We start from the raw sequence: 19,712 nt of genomic DNA, 5'->3' as shown, positions 1-19,712 counted from the left end.
GGGAACATGAACAGCCAGCTGTGCACAGGTAAGGCCGACTGGAGCCCTGTGAATGCCAGAGTTATTGGCAGGTCCCTTTGTTTTAACCCATTGTGTCCATAAAATCACAGGTGAATGCACCTGTTATATATGTCTGCTGAAATTTATTACAATAAAAGCGTGGCTGTTCAAAGGAGGTCACTCATCCCTATTTCACCTGAACTCTCCTCTGCATCTTTGCCATTGTGGGCTATGTTATGATGGGTGAATGTGTAGTCTCCCCAGCAGCCCAGGACTCCCTGAGAGCAAGGACTGCCTCCCCTCGTTGCCATTGGGGTTCTCTGAGGACTAGTGTTCTGTCTCCTTTCTTCTCTCCCTTCTCCTCCTCCTCCTTCTTATTCTATCTGTCTGTCTGCCTGTCTATCTATCTATCTATATCTGTCTATCCTCAGAGACCTTTGTTCTGATCTTCTTTTTAAAATGTGATTGGCTGGATGCGGTGGTTCACGCCTGTAATCCCAACACTTTGGGAGGCTGAGGTGGGCGGATCACAAGGTCAGGAGTTCGAGACAAGCCTGGCCAACATAGTGAAACCCCGTCTCTATTAAGAATACAAAAATCAGCAGGGCGCGGTGGTGGGTGCCTGTAATCCCAGCTACTTGGGAGGCTGAGGCAGGAGAATTGCTTGAACCTGGGAGGCAGAGGTTGCAGTGAGCCAAGATCATGCCACTGCACTCCAGCCTGGATGAGAGAGCAAGTCTCCATCTCAGAAAATAAATAAAATAAAATAATATAAAATAAAATAAAATGTGATTTTGGCCGGGCATGGTGGCTCATGCTTGTAATCCCAGCACTTTGGGAGGCGGAGATGGGCAGATCACTTGAGGTCAGGAGTTCAAGACCATCCTGGCCAACATGGTGAAACCCCATCTCTACTAAAAATACAAAAATTAGCTGGGCGTGGTTGTGCGCGCCTGTAGTCCCAGTTACTCGGGAGGCTGAGGCATGAGAATTGTTTGAAGCTGGGAAGCGGAAGTTGCAGTGAGCCCAGATCATGCCACTGCACTCCAGCCTGGGTGAGAGAGCAAGACTCTGTCCTGAAAAAAAAAAAAAAGTGACTTTATAAAGCTTTTGTATTGAAGTATAATGGATATACAGAAAGTAGCATCTATCAAGATTACAGCTCACTGACTTCTCACAAACTGAACATACCCACAAAACCAGTACACAGATCATGAAACAGAATGTTATCAGCGCTCCCCAAAGATCCTTTTTCCTTTTCATGCCCTTCCTCTAGCCCCCCACCCAATTTAAAGAAAAAGACTCATACTCAGCTGATAGTGAGGGCCAGCTTTGTGCTGGCACATTCATAACCAGGGCCTTATTGAATCATTATAGCAAGACTGCAGGGTAGGTATTATTCCACTCTACAGTCAAGGAAACTCAGGCTCAGAAAGGGTAAGTGAATTGTCAGGGTCAAAGCATTCACAGGTGGTGGAGATTGGCCTTTTAAGTCGATTGCATGTCACACATCACATTCTTTAATATGTGCAAAGAAGAGTGAGTGAAGAATTTGAATAGAGTCCACAAGTCATCAGAAATAAATCTATGTGGATATATCCAATATTATTTTCCCAGAAACATCCCTTACTTCTTCTGGGAACTCCTCCTGTCCACACTCTTCAAAATGCTTCCTGAGGGAGCCACCAAATTCTTATATGATCCTACCTGCTGGCCATAGTTGACTGATTCAGGAGAGGACACCTGACCTAGGATGGGCCAATCAGAGAACTTTCCTGGGAATTTTGGGTTAATTATTTCTCTGGAAATGTAAGACTCAGCTGCTGTTGGTCAGTTAGATGGAAAAAGCCAACCTACAGGAGGAAAGAGAGAGAGAAGAGAGGGCAAAGCAAAGAGAAGCAGGAATGAGAAATGGAGAAAGGGTCCTGGTAGTGTTTGCATCTCAGATTCTAGCTGATCCTAAGGCTCCACCCTATCCCTCCCCTTCCTGAAGCTGGGCTGCCCTGCGAAATGTGCCTTCATCCATCCAGTACACCTCCTTTCCACCAACCCAGAAAGGAAGCAGTCATCTGCAAGCAAAGGTATGTTAATCAAAGACCAGAGAAAAAATAGTCAATCTGTCTATTCATGCATTTAGATATACAGAGATCTATTTCCAGATGTTTGAGATACAGACAGATAAAATGGACTCCTCTGTATTCTATCAGGGTAGAATGGGGATAAGGTAACCTATGTTGTGTGATCGTTGTGAGAATTGCAAGATTAAACCCATAGAAAGTACCCTGCCTGGCACATCCTCAGTGATGGAATATTTTGGCAGGAGAGTAAGAGCTCATTTTAAAACCCTGGGTTCAGTTCTTCCTTACAGTAGAGTCCCAATGAATAAATATAGAAGGAATGATGGGAATAGAAAAATCACCAACACCACTGTAATAACTATTGCAGGCATGAACCATGAAGGGATGTTACAATTAGTGGGCAGAATGATGACAAACAGTATACTTGCTTAGCCTCAAAGTATCTCTCCTGAAGATATTTAATCATTACCAATGGAAAAATGGTAATTTTACTGCAGAGAAATCTGGTAGACCTCACCTCACCACGTGATCCAGGTTAAATTAGCAGTAATAAGACACATCAATATCATGTACGTCCTGGTACGGTGCACTGAGAAGGGTACATCTCTGTGGCATACTTCCCAAAATGAATGCCCTTAATCTCATATGAGCACACATGAGAGTAACCTAATTGAGAGGCATTCTACAAAATAACTGATCAATACTCTTTAAAAGTAGCAAGATGAGGCCAGGCACAGTAATTCTGTAATTATGAGTTACAGGCATGTAACTCATGCCTGTAATTCCAGAACTTTGGGAGGATGAAGTGGTAGGATCACTTGAGGCCAGGAGTTTCAGACTAGCCTGGGCAACACAGTGAGACCCCGTCTCTACAAAAAAACTTTAATTTAATTTAATTTTAGAGGTAGGGTCTTGCTCTGTTGCCCAGGATGGTCTTAAACTCCTGGCCTCAAGTGATCCTCCCACCTCAGCCTCCCAAAGTACTGGGATTATAGGCATGAAACAGTATGCCTAGTCAAAAAAAAGTTTTGTTTTTTTTTTCTGAGACAGAGTTTCACTCTTGTTGCCCAGACTGGAGTGTAATGGCACCATCTCGGCTCACTGCAACCTCTGCCTCCCGGGTTCAAGCGATTCTCCTGCCTCAGCCTCCCAAGTAGCTGGGATTACAGGCGTGCATCACCATGCCCAGCTAATTTTTTCTAGTTTTAGTAGAGATGGGGTTTCACCATATTGGCTAGGTTGGTCTCGAGTTCCTGACCTCAGGTGATCCACCTGCCTTGGCCTCCCAAAGTGCTGGGATTACAGGTGAGCACCAACACGCCCAGGCAATTTTTTTTTTTTTTTTTTTTTGAGATGGAGTCTCGCTCTGTTGCCCAGGCTGGAGTGCAGTAGTGCGATCTTGGCTCACTGCAAGCTCCGCTTCCCGGGTTCACGCCATTCTCCTGCCTCAGCCTCCACAGCAGCTGGGACTACAGGCACCCGCCACCACGCCCGGCTAATTTTTTTGTATTTTTAGTAGAGAGGGGATTTCACCATGTTAGCCAGGATGGTCTCGATCTCCTGACCTCGTGATCCGCCCGCCTTGGCATCCCCAAGTGCTGGGATTACAGGTGTGAGCCACTGCACAGGGCCTTTTTTTTTTTTTTTTTAAATGGGCTAGGCATGATGGTTTGTGCCAGCTACTTGGGAGACTAAGATGGGAGGATCACTTGAACCCAGGATCAAGGCTGCAGTGAACCATGATTGCGCCACTGTACTCCAACCTGGAATACAGAGTAAGACCCTGACTCAAAAAGCAATACATAAATAAAAGAAAGAAAGCAAAAAGAAAACCAAATGCCATGTGGAATCCTAGACCAGATCCTGGACCAGAAAGAGGGCAGGAATGGGGAAACGGGGGAAATTTAAATAAGGCCTACAGAATACTTAATAGCATTATATCAGGGTTCATGAATGTATTTGGTTAACAGAAAAAAAAAGTAATCTATCAGGGTTAATTTCCTGGGTTTGGTAATTATATTATGGTTATTTACATAAGATGTTGACATTGGGGATGTTGGATGGAAAGTATGTGGGAACTCTCTGTACTATGTTTATAACTTTAAGTCTAGAATTTTGTCAAAATAAAAATTAAAAAGCATAAATTTTTGAACTTGAGAAAAACAAACCTCAGGTCCAATATGTCCCCAATAGGTTCAGTTGAACTAATGGTATAAGTATAAAAGACACATACAACATTTAAGGGAAAAAACTATAAAACCAAGGCAATAGCTGAAATTGTACCTAAAAATTTATGTAGACAGCCGCCAAAGACTTAAGGTTTTTAGATCACTTGTCTCCTGAGCTAAGGTAACAAACTCAGGGGTTAGAATATACAGGGAAAACTCAGATACGAGGCCCAATCTCACACCCTCTGCAAGAGACCCCACTACCAGTATTCCTCAAAAGGTGGTCCTTTGACCTCTGCTTGAGTGACTCTGAGAATGGAGGGCTCACTATTGTACTCCTTTGGGTGATTTTTAGCTTGTAAGCCCAAGTGCTATTGATAGCAGTGAGAAATTGGAAATAACCCAAATGAATAGAGCCAGGTAATCTTAGCTACCAAGATGATAGAGCACTGCGTGGCCACTGAAAGTGACAAAAATGTGGCCTATCTTAATGCACAGAAATGTGTATATGCAGTAATCCAAAGTGACAAGGGCAAAACAGAAGTTGCCTTTACACAACGATCACAGCTATGTTCAAATCTCAGTGTGCACAATAAGAGCTGGAAGATAATTTAGAAGGCCACAAATAGTTGTAATTTTGAGTTGCCTTGATTTTTTACAAAGTGATCTATGTATAGAATTTTAAATGAAATTTAGTAGGCAGAATTTTATTTATTTATTTATTTATTTATTTTTGAGACTGAGTCTCACTCTGTTGCCCAAGCTGGTGTGCAGTGGCATGATCTCGGCTCACTGCAACCTCTGCCTCCTGCGGGCTCAAGTGATTCTCGTGCCTCAGTCTCCCGAGTAGCTGGGATTGTAGGTGCCCACCGCCATGCCTGGATAATTTTTGTATTTTTAATAGAGACAGGGTTTCACCATATTGGCCAGGCTGGTCTCAAACTCCTGAACTCAAATGATCCGCCCGCCTTGGCCTCCCAAAGCCCTGGGATTACAGGCATGAGCCACCATGCCCAGCCTAGTATGCAGAATTAAAAAAAAAAATCCTCCATTAAGGGACTTGGAGATTGTCATGTCAAGATTCATTGAGCATGTCTTCATGGAACATTAGCTAGGGAAGGATTCTAAGGCCATGTCTGAGCCCTGTGGGAAAGTGACATGATTGATTAGTGATGTCTGCCAATGATGATGAATGAGCAGTGGTAGTGTGCATGCTATGTAGTTGCCACCTCTTCCAAAGACATTCCCATTCCTATTGTCATTTTGTCATTTTTGTAGATCTTCTGAAAGATGAGTTTGTGATACCGAAGGTACCATGTGCAGGAAGAAACCTCTTTCAGTTAAAAGCTATAGGATTTTGGGCAAGTCACTGGGATATAAGATGGTATGAAATAAATACCTGAAGGGAACAAAAGCAAAATTCTCCACAATAACAGTCAGTTTGAGAATAGGTGGGCTCAACAGAGAAGACTTTGTGGCATTCGTGCTGGGTCTTGAAGGATGAGGAGATTTTACAGGTGACTATGCTCGGGAAGGGTATTTCACATGGAGGGCATAGCATGGATAAAGGCATGGAGGTGAGGAAATAAGAGGCCTCCTGGGGAGAAAGGAAAGTGTAGGTTAGTTGTAGAAGATGATTTTGGAAACGTAGGAAATGGAGAATGTCCTGAATGCCAAGATAACAAGTTTGAGTTTTATTTAGTTAGCAGTGGGCTTCTGATGAGTTTTGATGCAAGTGATGCTTAAAGGAAATGAGACTAGAAGGCGATAAGAAAAAGCCTGGGCACCACCACCATGAGGGGACCTGAGGACCCAGAATTTGACAAAATCTCCTGGGGGTGTAGGCTAGCAATCAGAGCCCTGGGATAACGGGGTGTGGGAGCTATAACTAAGCCCCAGCAAGACAATCTCCTGAGCTCTATCTATTGTTCAGAGATTTCCTGAGCTCTGAGCCAGGCACAGGGATGCAAAAGCCATGGGCTCTGCTCTCTGGGAGCTTCTAGTCATGTGGGTTTTTTCAGATATGGGGGGCAGCAGACAGGGCAGACCACAGGCAGGAGAGGACTTGGGATCTGACCGAGCTGTCAGAAGATCAATTGAGTAGGCAGGGGCTGTAGGCCCCAGGGTCTGGCAGCCAAGCTGGGATGCCCTAGCTTGATGCAGTCGATCAGGGACTCTCGGAAGGGATTTGTTGTGACTTCTTGGGTGTTTGCGGAAGGTTAGCCTGGCAGCAGCCAGACTCCTGGAGTCCTACCAGATAAGAAAAGGGTCCCTGAAGCTTTTGTTGGGGAATCTGGAGGCCTCACATGACTTAGGGGATCCCATGAATTCTGCTATATTAAAGGATTTGGCAAGATTCCAATGACCTGGGCCAGGCGCGTGGCTCATGCCTGTAATCCCAACACTTTGGGAGGCTGAGGCTGGCGGATAACGAGGTCAAGAGATTGAGACCATCCTGGCCAATATGGTGAAAACCTGTCTCTACTACAAATATAAGAAAATTAGCTGGGCGTGGTGGCACGCACCTGTAGTTCCAGCTACTTGCGAGGCTGAGGCAGGAGAATTGCTTGAACCCGGGAGGTGGAGGTTGCATTGAGTCAAGATCGCGCCACTGCACTCCAGCCTGGTGACACAGCAAGACTCCATCTCAAAAAAAAAAAAAAGATTCCAATGATCCTATAATTTTATTTACCTGCTTCCCAAATATGGGGACTCCCCTCAACCCAGGGAAGGCACTCCCTATCTTGTCTTTCACCTCATAGTCCAATGTACCTCTGGGGACCACAGGGAGGAATGGAAGCTAAGTTGGCTTGAGACACCATCAGGTAGGGACCTCCCTCTCTGTGCCAGGCCCAGCTGACTTCTAGTCCTCCCTCCCCTCCCCCATTATAAGGCTTGGGGAAGCTCCAGGGCTCTGGCTGGGCAGTGGGTAGCAGTGGCTAGAGTGGAAAATCCCCCACCAGCTGGATGATATCAGTGTTTACAGATCTGGTCCTGGCCTTCTGCCTGGGGCCTGAGGACCTGACAAATCTGCCTGGAGCCCTGAGTGTGGGGTACGAGGTCGCAGAGAGGCTATTGGCACGGGGATTTTTTTCCCACTCACTCCAAAATGGAGAGCTGTCCTGGGCCAGGTGAGCAGGCACTGGGCCAGCTCCAGGTCACCTCAGGCAATGGGAAGCTGGTAGCTGGGAAGTGGGGTGGGAGTTGGGGGAGGTGGGGGAGGGGGTGCCGAGATGAGGGATAGAGGAACTAACAAATCAGACTTGGGGGCTGCACAAGGGCTTGGGAGTGGGTCATGGGAGACATAGGCACTTTAGGAGAACTGAAGACAGAAGCAGGGACGCAGCGGGGCAGAAGAGAGAACGAGGAACAGCAGCAGGGCGCAGGCCTGTCCCTCTTCATATGCCCCTGCTCCAGGCCTCTGATCTAGGTCGGTACAAGAGGCACAACCAGAAGCTGGTGTGGCTTACTCTGTGAGTGTGTCCTGAGCATTTGCTGAATTATGACAAGCATTTCTCCAAATGTCCTGTTTGACCTTGAAAGCCTCTGAAGCTGCTCAAATAGCTGTGACTTCAGCCATTGTCATCCCAGCCCCACCACCAGCACCAGAACTCCCGACACTGCCATCAGCACCACCCTCACCATCACCATCATTGTAACCAGCATCCTAGCTACTAGCTACTGACCTCTTGACCCCCTGACACCCCTATCTCCTCCCCTGAGGGTTTGAGGGTGCTAGGAGTTAGGAGTGGAGTCAAAGCTTCAAGTACATAACCTAGAGACAAGCAGTTCTCAATGATTTTGCCCATCCAGAAGACACTTAGCAGTGCCTGGAGATATATTTGGTTGGCACAATGGGTGGACTGCTCCTGGCATCGAGTCGGTAGATGCCAGGAATGCTGTTAAACATTCTATAGTACACAGGATGGGGCCCACAACAAAGAACTATTTGTTCCAAAATGTCGACAGCACTGAGGTTGCGAAACCCTGGCTATAGATCCTATCTATCCCAGCACTCTGCCTCTACCTTTTTCTGGCCCTCGTCCCTAAATGCACACATTATGCCTCTGGTTTGGGAACAAGACGTAATCTTCACCACTCCATCTTACGGCAACTTTCTCTCTTATCGCTTGCACCTCCTGGCCTCCGATGCTTGAACCAAAAAGTCAATAAGATGAAAGTCTGTTGCGGCCACCCTCAAGAAGGAAAAATACACAGAAACGATACACGAAGCACAGGGTACACCCTGGGTTGAGGTCATGGCTGCCCAGGGCAGGGAGGCAGCGATTAGACTAATCTTGGGCGTATAAAAGAGGAAAGAGTGCCCAGGTCTTCACTCCACTGCGACTGCAGAACTCAGAGCTGCTCTTCCTCTGTGGCCAGTTGGGGACCAGCATCATGAAGTGGATGGTGGTGGTCTTGGTCTGCCTCCAGCTCTTGGAGGCAGCAGTGGTCAAGTGAGTCTGGGATCTGGCTGCTGGTGCAGGGAGCCTGGATGGGAGCCTAAAGCCCTGCAAAGGGCAACTGGGCCAGGGGACACCCTGCCTGTCTCTACTCTGGGACTTCTGCTAGGGGAAGGGAAGTCTCCCTTTGCTGATGTTAGACAGGACACATGGGTGGAAGGAGACACAGCCCCTGCCTTCAGGAAACTTCCTATCAAAGGGAAAAGCACGATCCCTTCCCCCATCTGATGAGGAAAGATGGACCTGAAACAGAGGTGGTAAGGGTGACTACTGCCCAAGCAGCCCTTGAATGGCAGGTGTGGATTCTTCTCACAGAAGGGAGCAATCCTTTTTGGATAAGGGATATCTTATCCACTATCCTCTCTAAAAGTTGCTTTAAGGCTGAAAATTTACTGGCAGATGCCAAAATCATCTAAGCAGAAACACCAGTAAATGTAAATCTCTACACCTGAGGGGTCAGGAGAAAACTCTGGAGTAGATGGCATGGCTCACAGGCCATCAGGAAGGCGCCCAGCCTGCCATCCTGCCTGTTATTTCTCTACCCAAGAGTACTTCCTGAGGCCAAGAGCTGGCTCCTCTCAGAAACTCCTATCAATATGCATATTTGGTAGAGGTGGTTAATTAGTCTTCATAGCTCAGGGTGAAGGGGTTTAGCAGAGAATTTCTGGAGAATGCAGAGTCCCCAGGGAATGGGGATTAAGCAGAATTCTGGAGCCTAGAGCAAGGCCAGAGTGGACCCCTAGAGACTCCCAAGCAATGGCAGCAAGCAAGTCTGGGAAGGAGAGTGCCGAGGGTGTGACTGAGCCCATAGGATGGGACAGAAACGGTGATTTATAAGTTCCAACTCCAGAGCTGATCTGTGCTCCAGACCACCCAGGCCAACTTCCCGTGGTCCTGGTGTCCTGAGAGGAGCAGTGATGGGGCCTAGGCCATGCGATTAGCAGCTGGGACAGAACTAGGACTCTGTGTCCTGAGTCCCAGCTAGTGCTGTTGCCGTTGCTCCATGCTCTGTCACATCCAGCTGGTGCCAGGTGCCTGAGGGCTGCCGTAGAAAGGAACTCTGGGGTGAACTTTGCCATCTCTGAAATCTTCTTTGTTTTTTTTTTTGAAACAGAACTTCGCTCTTGTTGCCCAGGCTGCAGTGCAATGGCGCGATCTCGGCTCACTGAAACCTCTGCCTCCCAGGTTCAAGCGATTCTCCCACCTCAGCCTCCCGAGTAGCTAGGATTACAGGCATGCGCCACCATGCCCGGCTAATTTTGTAATTTTAGTAGAGATGGGTTTTCACCATCTTGGCCAGTCTGGTCTCGAACTCCTGACCTCAAGTGATCCACCCGCCTCGGCCTCCCAAAGTGCTGGGATTACAGGCGTGAGCTACCGTGCCTGGCCTGAAATCTTCTGTTAAAAATGTGCATTTCCTGGGCTGGGCGCAGTGGCTCACGCCTGTAATCCTAGCACTTTAGGAGGCCAAGGCGGGCGGATCATTTGAGGTCGGGAGTTTGAGACCAGCCTGACCAACATAGAGAAACCCTATCTCTACTAAAAATACAAAATTAGCTGGGCATGGTGGCCCTTGCCTGTAATCCCAGCTACTCAGGAGGCTGAGGCAGAAGAATAGCTTGAACTCGGGAGGTGGAAGTTGAGGTGAGCCGAGATCAAGCCATTGCACTCCAGCCTGGGCAACAAGAGCGAAACTCTGTCTCAAAAAAAAAAAAAAAAACTACATATCCTGGGCCAGGTGCGGTGGCTCACACCTGTAATGCCAGCACTTTGGGAGGCCTAGGCAGGCGAGTCACGAGGTCAGGAGATCAAGACCAGCCTGGCCAACATAGTGAAACCCTGTCTCTGCTAAAGATACAAAAAATTAGCCAGGCATGGTGACAGGCGCCTGTAATTCCAGCTACTCGGGAGGCTGAGGCAGGAGAATTTTCTGAACCCAGGAGGTAGAGGTTGCAGTGAGCGGAGATTGTGCCATTGCACTCTAGCCTGGGTGACAAAAGTGAAACTGCGTCTCAAAAAAAAAAAAGTACATATCCTGAAAAGGGTAAAGCCTAAAGTCCCTCTTCCTTTCCTGGGGAGGAATCTATGGGATATTTGACAGCAAAGGGCCAGGGAGATAGGAGGACCCTTGAGATGAGGTGAGGAGTGCATGCATGGTGAAATGAATGGTTTTCTGAATCTTAGAGCAAGTGCTGAGAAGAGCTTTGTAAGAAAGAGGGGAAGAGGCAAAGGGAGGAAGAAACACGCGCGCGCGCACACACACACACACACACAGAGAGACAGACAGACAGAGACAGAGAGCAAAAGGCTGAGAGAGAGAAAAAGACACACACAGACAAGGGGGAACAAACAGAGTGGCAGGGAGGTTGAAGCATGCAGTTAAGAGAAGGAGAGAGAGAAAGAGAGGAGTGGGAAGAGAGGAAGGAGGGAGGGCCTTGCCTCATATGCAACCTTTCTGTAGAGTGCCCCTGAAGAAATTTAAGTCTATCCGTGAGACCATGAAGGAGAAGGGCTTGCTGGGGGAGTTCCTGAGGACCCACAAGTATGATCCTGCTTGGAAGTACCGCTTTGGTGACCTCAGCGTGACCTACGAGCCCATGGCCTACATGGATGTGAGTCCTGACCCTTTCTGGCGGTAGCCTTCTCTCTGGTGTGGGCTGGAGGGAAGGGGCAGGTCCCTTCACTCCTCTGCCCATGGAGGAGCCTGGGGCCCCTGGATCCCTCTGGAACTAACAGCTTGCTCCATGGCCCCCAGGCTGCCTACTTTGGTGAGATCAGCATCGGGACTCCACCCCAGAACTTCCTGGTCCTTTTTGACACCGGCTCCTCCAACTTGTGGGTGCCCTCTGTCTACTGCCAGAGCCAGGCCTGCAGTGAGTGCTGGGCTGGGCAGAGAGGGGTGGTTGGCAGGGCAAGGCACTGATACCCTCTGGGGAGGGCCAAACTTCCAGAGGGAGCTCAGGACTGAGGGGAGCTCAGTCCTGGGGAGGACCAGGGACATGTGCAGGGCCACACAGCATGCCCAAGCCAGAGGAAAGATGCTGGTCCTGCAGCTGGATGGCCCCTTTGCCTTCCCTGCCAATATGTATCCCTTTGCTTATGCCAGCCCCTAACTCCCCACTCCCTTTTATTCCACTCTCCCCATTCTGTTTACTCTGGGCAGTGCCATTCCATTCCATGTGACTAATTTCCAGTCCATTCCATCCCACTCCATCCCACTCCATTCTACTCCATTCTATTCTGCTCCACCTCAGTATTTACTAAGTTCTCACTGAGTGTCTCCAAGAGACACAACAGAACAATATAGGATGTGGGCTCCGTACTATAGTGGTTTTGGGAGACAGGCAGTGTTTGCTTTCTTAAGGTTGCCTTGGTCCCTGCTGAAGCCTTGGTGTTTGGGTCCTGATACCTTTGGCCCAAGGGGTCCCTTGATGTCCCCACCCTATGTTATGACTGGCTTCTTGATGAGTGAAGGTGGGGAGTACTTGGGGATGCCCTGGAGGGCTGGGGGGAATGCTGGGATGTGGTGCAGGCCCATTCACTTCTTCATCTGATGAGTAATTACTCAGCACTGCTGTGAGCCACGTGCTTTGCTGGGGACCAGGGACTCAGGGCTGGGTTCTCTGCAAACCTGTCCACAGGGAGGCCACAGTCCTGAGGCATCCCAAGATTCTGTAAGTCAGAAGGGGCTTTGGGGACAAGGCTGGCCAGCTCCCATGGGCCTTCCAATGCCACCCCTTGACTTGGCAACCAGGGGTGCTGAGGTCCCAGGATGTGAGCGCAGCCTGAGCGAGAGGCTGAGGTGGGAACCCGGCAGGCCTGAGAGCTGAGCAGCCCTGCCCCAGCCGGCCTGACTCCCCATGCCCTGACTCCCCTGCAGCCAGTCACTCCCGCTTCAACCCCAGCGAGTCGTCCACCTACTCCACCAATGGGCAGACCTTCTCCCTGCAGTATGGCAGTGGCAGCCTCACCGGCTTCTTTGGCTATGACACCCTGACTGTGAGTGGGCATGGGGAGTGGAGGCTGGGGCTGTGAGCTATAAGCTGGAGGGGACAGTTAGATGGACTCTCCTGAAACACGGTGGAATGCTAGTGTTCTGGTGTGCAGGACAGGAAGGCAGGACAAGACAGGTCCATTCAGTCACTCCCCCAACACTCACTGGTGGCCACCATGTGCTAGGCACTGGGGCACCATACTGAACAAGAGGGACATGGTCCTTTTCCTTAAGAAGCATAAGGCCTGGGGAGCTCAGAGAAGAAGGAGACGGGTGAGGAGGTGAGCTGTGGCAGTCAAGGAAGGCTACGCAGGAGAGGTGGCTCCTGCAACACCTGTCAAGAGGCAGAGGTGGCTGGCTACGGTGGCTCACGCCTGTAATCCCAGCACTTTGGAAGGCCAAGGCGGGCAGATCATGAGGTCAAGAGATAGAGACCATCCTGGCCAACATGGTGAAACCCTGTCTCTATTAAAAGTACAAAAAATTAGCTGAGCGTGGTGGCACGCGCCTGCAGTCCCAGCTACTCGGGAGGCTGAGGCAGGAGAATCGCTAGAACCAGGGGAGCAGAGGTTGCTGTGAGCTGAGATTGCGCCACTGCATTCCAGCCTGGTGACAGGGCGAGACTCTGTCTCAAACAAGCAAACAAACAAACAAGAAAACCAAAACAAAAAAGAAGGGGGCAGAGGTGAGGAAGGGATGAACAGAGGCTTGAGGAGTCTCTAGGGGAACCTGGAGGAGGTGAGTGGAGTCAGACTGGTCACCTCCCCTCGTTTGTGTCTCCATTAGGTCCAGAGCATCCAGGTCCCCAACCAGGAGTTCGGCTTGAGTGAGAATGAGCCTGGTACCAACTTCGTCTATGCGCAGTTTGATGGCATCATGGGCCTGGCCTACCCTGCTCTGTCCGTGGATGAGGCCACCACAGCTATGCAGGGCATGGTGCAGGAGGGCGCCCTCACCAGCCCCGTCTTCAGCGTCTACCTCAGCAAGTGAGCAACCAGCTGGCCAGTCCCCACCTCCCGGGATGCTCCCCCGGCCGCCCTGGACGACTGAGGCTCAGTGCTCAATGCTTTGGGGTTTGGAGGCATCCCAGCGGGCATCTGGCTCCAGTCAGTCTTGCTCCAGGGCCTTCCTTCCTGGGCTTCCTCTCGAATCCTCTCCCAGCCACCCGACCACACCCCATCCCTGCACCTGTCCCCAGTCCCCTCCGACTTGTCTTTGCATTCCATGGCCACGATGGAATGAATCTCTTCCACAGCAGCTGAACTTTGCCCTGAGTTTTGCTGCTCTGATTCTCAGCACCCCTTGGACAGGCTTCCTGGTGGAGAAGCGGGTGGGGCAGTTCGCTCACTTCCTTCTGACCGAATGTTTTCTACCTGTATCCCTCTTTTGCATAGTAATGTATTGCTTCATCTCCTTTTATCTATTGTTCTAGCCTGGTCCTGGAGTCTTCTGGTCTAGGTCCACTGCTGACCCCTAGCAGGTTGTTATCCTTGCCAGTCAACACAAGCATGTGCAGGCATTTAGTGAGACAGGCAGTGGGTGGGGGTGAGCGGCCTGGGGCCTGCTTTTCTTTGTTCTTCTTCAGAATTAACCAGCAACTTGCTTTTGTTTTGTTTTGTTTTGTTTTTTTGAGATGGGGTCTCACTCTGTCACCCGGTCTGGAGTGCAGTGGCGCAATCTCGGCTCACTGCTACTTCTGCCTCCCGGATTCAAGCTATTTTCCAGCCTCAGCCTCCCAAGTAGCTGGGATTACAGGCATGCGCCACTGTGTTCGGCTAATTTTTGTGTTTTTAGTAGAGACGGGGTTTCACCATGTTGGCCAGGCTGGTCTCAAACTCCTGACCTCAGGTGATCCACCCGCCTCGGCCTTCCAAAGTGTTGGGATTACAGGTGTGAGCCACTGCGCCCGGCCTTAGGCAGCCACTTTCTAGAGACAGTTAGCTTCATTGGACTAATCTGGGGAATCTGAAGTTCAAGGACCTCACCCTGTTACTAATGTTGCTAACTTCCTCTCCACCTCTGTTTATGATTCCTCTGCGTGTAAACAGAGCAGCTCCACCCAGCTCCACACTCCAGCTACCAGAGAAGCCTCTGGAACAAACATGGAATATCCTTACCCCCTTCACCAAGACCCTACCTGTCTCCAATCTCAGCAGAAAAGTAACAAGCTGGGCCGGGGTGGGGATCCCGGTGACATGTCTACCAGAGGCAGGAAGCGGAGGGGAGAGGAGAGCAGAGTGTGGGCTGGGGGTCCCAACCACTAGGGGACCCCCCAGAAGTCAGCATCATTCGGGAGCCTGAGGCGCTGGGAATTCCAAGGCCTGGCCAGAAAGCCCCAGTCTAAGGGACGCATCCCAGTCCCCAGGGAGCCCCAATCTAAGGGATACAGCCCCATCCTCAGGGAGCCCCAGTCTGAGGGAGACACAGACTCGTCCTCAGGGAGGCCCAGTCTAAGGGACACAGCCCCATCCTCAGGGAGCTCCAATCTAAGGGATACAGCCCTGTCCTCAGGGAGCCCCAGTCTGAAGGGAGACTCAGTGCTCTCCTCAGGGAGCCCCCGTCTGGATCAGGGAAGGAGCTCTGTTTCCCTGTGGAGGTGACTGCTCAGGAGGAAAGTCCTTTTCCATGGCACTCCCTGACTTCCCCTTCCCTTTCTCTCCTGCAGCCAGCAGGGCTCCAGCGGGGGAGCGGTTGTCTTTGGGGGTGTGGATAGCAGCCTGTACACGGGGCAGATCTACTGGGCGCCTGTCACCCAGGAACTCTACTGGCAGATTGGCATTGAAGAGTGAGTCTGCGGTGGGGCCCTGGGGATGTGGCACTTCCTTGGAGTGGGCTTCCAGGCCATGTCACACACACACACAGTCTGGCACTGCTCTGGGATGGGGCAGAGGACCCCTGAGGCTTACTCCTACAAAGCCACAACTGTCCTCTGCAGGGGTGACAAAGCCCAGCTCAGCCTGGAGAAGAGAGTGGATGTGGACAACATAGGGAGGGGCAGGACCTGGACTCCCGAACATTAGGGACCCTGCAGTCCAGCCCCATCATGGGCTCACAGATTAGAAACGAAGGTGTGTTAGCAACTAATTTGCTCAAAGTCCTTACAATGAATCAGTGGACCTGGTTTTCAGTGTTTTTAGAAACTTCCTTGACACTTTTAAGGACTAGGTCCCATGGCATGATGCAGGGGAATAGCCGGATTGATCTTTGCAGGGTCCTCACTTTCCTCAAGAAAGTAGCTGTAGCTCTTTGTCCCACAGTGGTGGGGAAAGCCCGCCCCAGCTGCCCTGAACTGGGGGAGTCCTGAGGCTGCCTGTCTTCTCCCCATACAGGTTCCTCATCGGCGGCCAGGCCTCCGGCTGGTGTTCTGAGGGTTGCCAGGCCATCGTGGACACAGGCACCTCTCTGCTCACTGTGCCCCAGCAGTACATGAGTGCTCTTCTGCAGGCCACAGGGGCCCAGGAGGATGAGTATGGACAGGTGTGACTGGTGAGGGTGTCTCTCTTCCCCAGGAGGCTACTCCAGAGGCATTCATGATTTCTCCTGGGAACACAATAGCCAGCTGGGCGCCGTGGCTCATGCCTGTAATCCCAACACTTTGGGAGGCCAAGGCAGGCAGATCTTTTGAGCCCAGGAGTTTGAGACCAGCCTGGGCAACATGGCGAGACTCTGTCTCTACAAGAAATACAAAAATTAGCTGGGTGCGGTGGCATGCGCCTGTAGTTCCAGCTACTTGGTAGGCTGAGGTGAGAGGATTGTTTGAGCCCAGGAGGTGGAGGCTGCAGTGAGCCGTGATCTCACTATTGCACTCCAGCCTGGGTGACAAAGCAAGACCCTGTCTCAAAAAAAAAAAAAAGCCTAACTCTTGACCTCCAAGCCTCTATCTGCCCAAGGCGCTGGAGGCAGGGGGACCTGGGACGACTGGGGCTGTGTGCAGGATGGGGGCCTGGAGGCTTGTTCAGGCGGGGCCAGTTGCTTGTGCTGAAGGGGAGAAGGAGGTTACTATTAGGCAGGAATTTCTTCTGAGCTGCAGTCACTCAGCAGAAACAGAGGAAATGCTTGCTGGACTTTGGGATAAGAGCAAAATGACTGGAATGTGGGGCTGAGTATGTGAGCAACCAGGGCTGACCCTTTATCCCCACCTCTCTCACCTCCACAGGGCCATGCTCCCCTGCGCTTGTCTGTCTTGAGTCCAGCCAAGGGTTTGTTTAATTAACCCAAGCCCACTACCACTAATTTTAATTTTGGGAGACCAGTGGGGTACTCATTATGCAGATCTGTGTTTTTCTTTTTTTTTTGTTTTTTGTTTTTGTTTTTTTGAGACGGAGTCTCTCTCTGTCGCCCAGGCTGGAGTGCAATGGCGTGATCTTGGCTCACTGCAACCTCCACTTTCCTGGGTTCAAGCAATTCTCTGGCTTCAGCTTCCTGAGTAGCTGGGACTACAGGTGTATGTCACCACGCCTGGCTAATTTTTTTGTATTTTTAATAGAGATGAGGTTTCACCATATTGGCCAGGCTGGTCTCGAACTCCTGACCTCAAGTAATCTGCCTGCCTTGGCCTCCCAAAGTGCTGGGATTACAGATGTGAGCCACCACGCCCAGCCATCTGTGTTGTTTTTGTCGTTGTTGTTGTTGTTGTTATTGTTGTTTTGAGACAGAGTCTCACTCTGTCACCCAGGCTGGAGTGCAGTGACACAATCTCAGCTCACTGCAAGCTCCGCCTCCTGGGCTCAAGCAATCCTCCCACCTCAGCCTCCTGAGTAGCTGGGACTACACGTGTGTGCCATCATGCCCAGCTAATTTTTGTATTTTTGGTGGAGGCGGGGTTTCATCATGTCACTCAGGCTGGTCTCGAACTTCTGGACTCAAGCAATCTGCCTACCTCGGCCTCCCAAAGTATTGGGATTACAGGCACGAGCCACCATGCCCGGCCAGATCTGCGTGTTTTAAAATGCCACTTGCAAGCTGGGCATCATGGCTCATGCCTGTGTATGTGTGTGTGTGTGTGTGTGTGCATATATATATATGCATATATATATACATATATATATGCATATATATATGCATATATATATGCATATATATATGCATATATATATGTATATATATATGCATATATATGTATATATATATGCATATATATATGCATATATATGTATATAGGCACTTGCAGAGAAAGAGCAGAGGTTCGATCTTTAATATGGGAAATCGAGGCAAGAGGAGTTAGGAGGCTCTGGGATCACTCCAAATCACACCCATTCTATGAGTCCATGGGATAATGCCAGCATTACCTACACAGGACTTTCCCTTGGAGCTGCATTCTCTAGTCCAAAAACAGGCTTAGGGCTTGGGCCCGGAGCTCAGGCCTGGGATCCAGGGGCTGAGATGATGGGGCTGGTGGGTGCTATCAGGGGGAGGATGAGTTAACCAGGGACCTATTCCTCTTGCAGTTTCTCGTGAACTGTAACAGCATTCAGAATCTGCCCAGCTTGACCTTCATCATCAATGGTGTGGAGTTCCCTCTGCCACCTTCCTCCTATATCCTCAGTGTAAGTCCTGGTCCCTGCAGGCTGAGCCACCATGATTGGGGTTGGGAGGAAGGGCTGGGGAGCCAGAAATGCTGGGTCTCCTGCCTTGTGCCATTTTCCGACTCCACGCTTGTACTCATTTATCTTCCCCACTCATTGATTCTAAACCCCCTTCTCTGGAACAAGGCTATGAAATAGAAGATTGTCATCTATGATCAATTATTATTAATTAGTGGGGAGAGGCACTGGGCTCTTTGTTGAGCACTTACTAGGGCAGACCACTGTGCAAAGCACTTTGCTTCATGATCCCATTTAATTGTCACAGTATTTAATGAGGGAGATACTCATTTCTGTTTTACAAATGAAAACTTGGAGGTTCAGAGAGGTTGAGTAACTGACTCAAGGCGACACAGCTAAGGTTTGAATTCAAGTTGGTTTGGCTCCAAGGTTTAACCACCAGGCTGATCTGCTCCAAATTGGGAGCAGGAGGGAGGTCTGTGGGAAGAGAAGTTTCCCATCATGGGGAGAGGAGACCCTGCTGAGGACCACGGCAGCCTGAATGTACCTGTTCCAGAAATCCTCCCACCCGCTCTGCTCTGGTGGCTCAGTTGGCCTATGAGCCCTCAAGGCAGAGACCCTGGCTCCCTCAGCTCTGCACTTGTGCTCCCAGCCCAGGGCTCAGAGCTGAGCAGGGCCCAGCTCATGTGTGGACAAATGAATGAGTGCTGCCTTTCTTTGTTGAGCAGAACAACGGCTACTGCACCGTGGGAGTCGAGCCCACCTACCTGTCCTCCCAGAACGGCCAGCCCCTGTGGATCCTCGGGGATGTCTTCCTCAGGTCCTACTATTCCGTCTACGACTTGGGCAACAACAGAGTAGGCTTTGCCACTGCCGCCTAGACTTGCTGCCTCGACACGTGGGCTCCCCTCTTCCTCTTGACCCTGCACCCTCCTAGGGCATTGTATCTGTCTTTCCACTCTGGATTCAGCCTTCTTTTTCTGGACTCTGGACTTTCTCTAATAATAAATAGTTCTTCTTTATGTTGGTCATCCTGTTGTTTTTGGAAGGGAGTTTTCCCTGAGTGGCTACAAGGTTTCCTGGTGGGTCACTGTGATTCTAAGAGAAATGGGACCTAAGGCATGGCTTGGGATGGGCTCTGTAACCCTCAGAGCTTAAAGTTCATACTTTTCCCCTGGAAAGGGAAGACAGTGGTAGCGCCATCATGGGTGGGTGGGTGGCGGGCCGGGGGAGAGTGTTCCTACTTGAGTCACAGAGAAATCGAGCCTATTTGCTGGAACCAACTCAGCAAGGGATCTTGTCCCTTTGGACTTCATCCCTGTCCTCCTCAGGAGCCTCTTAGCAAAAGATCCAGAAACCAGGAGCAACATTGTATGTGGGGAAGGAGGAGAGAGAGGAAGAAAAGGAGGAGGGGAAGGAGAAGAAAAGCAGGGGAGGGGCTGGGGGAGGAGACAGGGAAAAAGGGG

General features: G+C 50.2%; 1 protein-coding gene across 2 annotated transcripts; it reads left to right on the top strand.

Annotated features, from left to right (window-relative positions):
- Positions 1-8,581: 8,581 nt before the first annotated feature.
- Positions 8,582-19,268, top strand: PGC (progastricsin). 2 transcript variants are annotated; one of them, NM_002630.4, is made up of 9 exons: positions 8,582-8,703; positions 11,171-11,321; positions 11,465-11,582; positions 12,590-12,708; positions 13,490-13,689; positions 15,369-15,488; positions 16,033-16,180; positions 18,151-18,249; positions 18,975-19,268. In NM_002630.4, exons 1-9 carry the CDS (start codon positions 8,645-8,647, stop codon positions 19,125-19,127), a joined length of 1,167 nt encoding a protein of 388 aa, NP_002621.1. In that variant the 5' UTR covers positions 8,582-8,644; the 3' UTR covers positions 19,128-19,268. The 2 variants fall into 2 exon arrangements, with proteins under 2 accessions (NP_002621.1, NP_001159896.1); NM_001166424.2 differs by lacking the exons at positions 15,369-15,488; positions 16,033-16,180; positions 18,151-18,249; positions 18,975-19,268 and adding exons at positions 14,136-14,183; positions 14,752-15,141.
- The last annotated feature ends 444 nt before the right edge of the window (positions 19,269-19,712 follow it).

Source organism: Homo sapiens, chromosome 6 (assembly GCF_000001405.40).
Source record: "Homo sapiens chromosome 6, GRCh38.p14 Primary Assembly".
Classification (NCBI taxonomy): Eukaryota; Metazoa; Chordata; class Mammalia; order Primates; family Hominidae; genus Homo; species Homo sapiens.
Note: the sequence above shows the minus strand (reverse complement) of the source record. Positions and strands in the feature narration are given on the sequence as shown.

Bases quoted from the DNA above. Each gene is read 5' to 3' on its own strand.
- PGC (NM_002630.4), top strand. From the start codon at position 8,645: ATGAAGTGGATGGTGGTGGTCTTGGTCTGCCTCCAGCTCTTGGAGGCA. The intron at 11,583-12,589 runs GTGAGTGCTGGG...ACTCCCCTGCAG, and splicing joins CTGCCAGAGCCAGGCCTGCA to CCAGTCACTCCCGCTTCAAC. The intron at 13,690-15,368 runs GTGAGCAACCAG...TCTCTCCTGCAG, and splicing joins TTCAGCGTCTACCTCAGCAA to CCAGCAGGGCTCCAGCGGGG.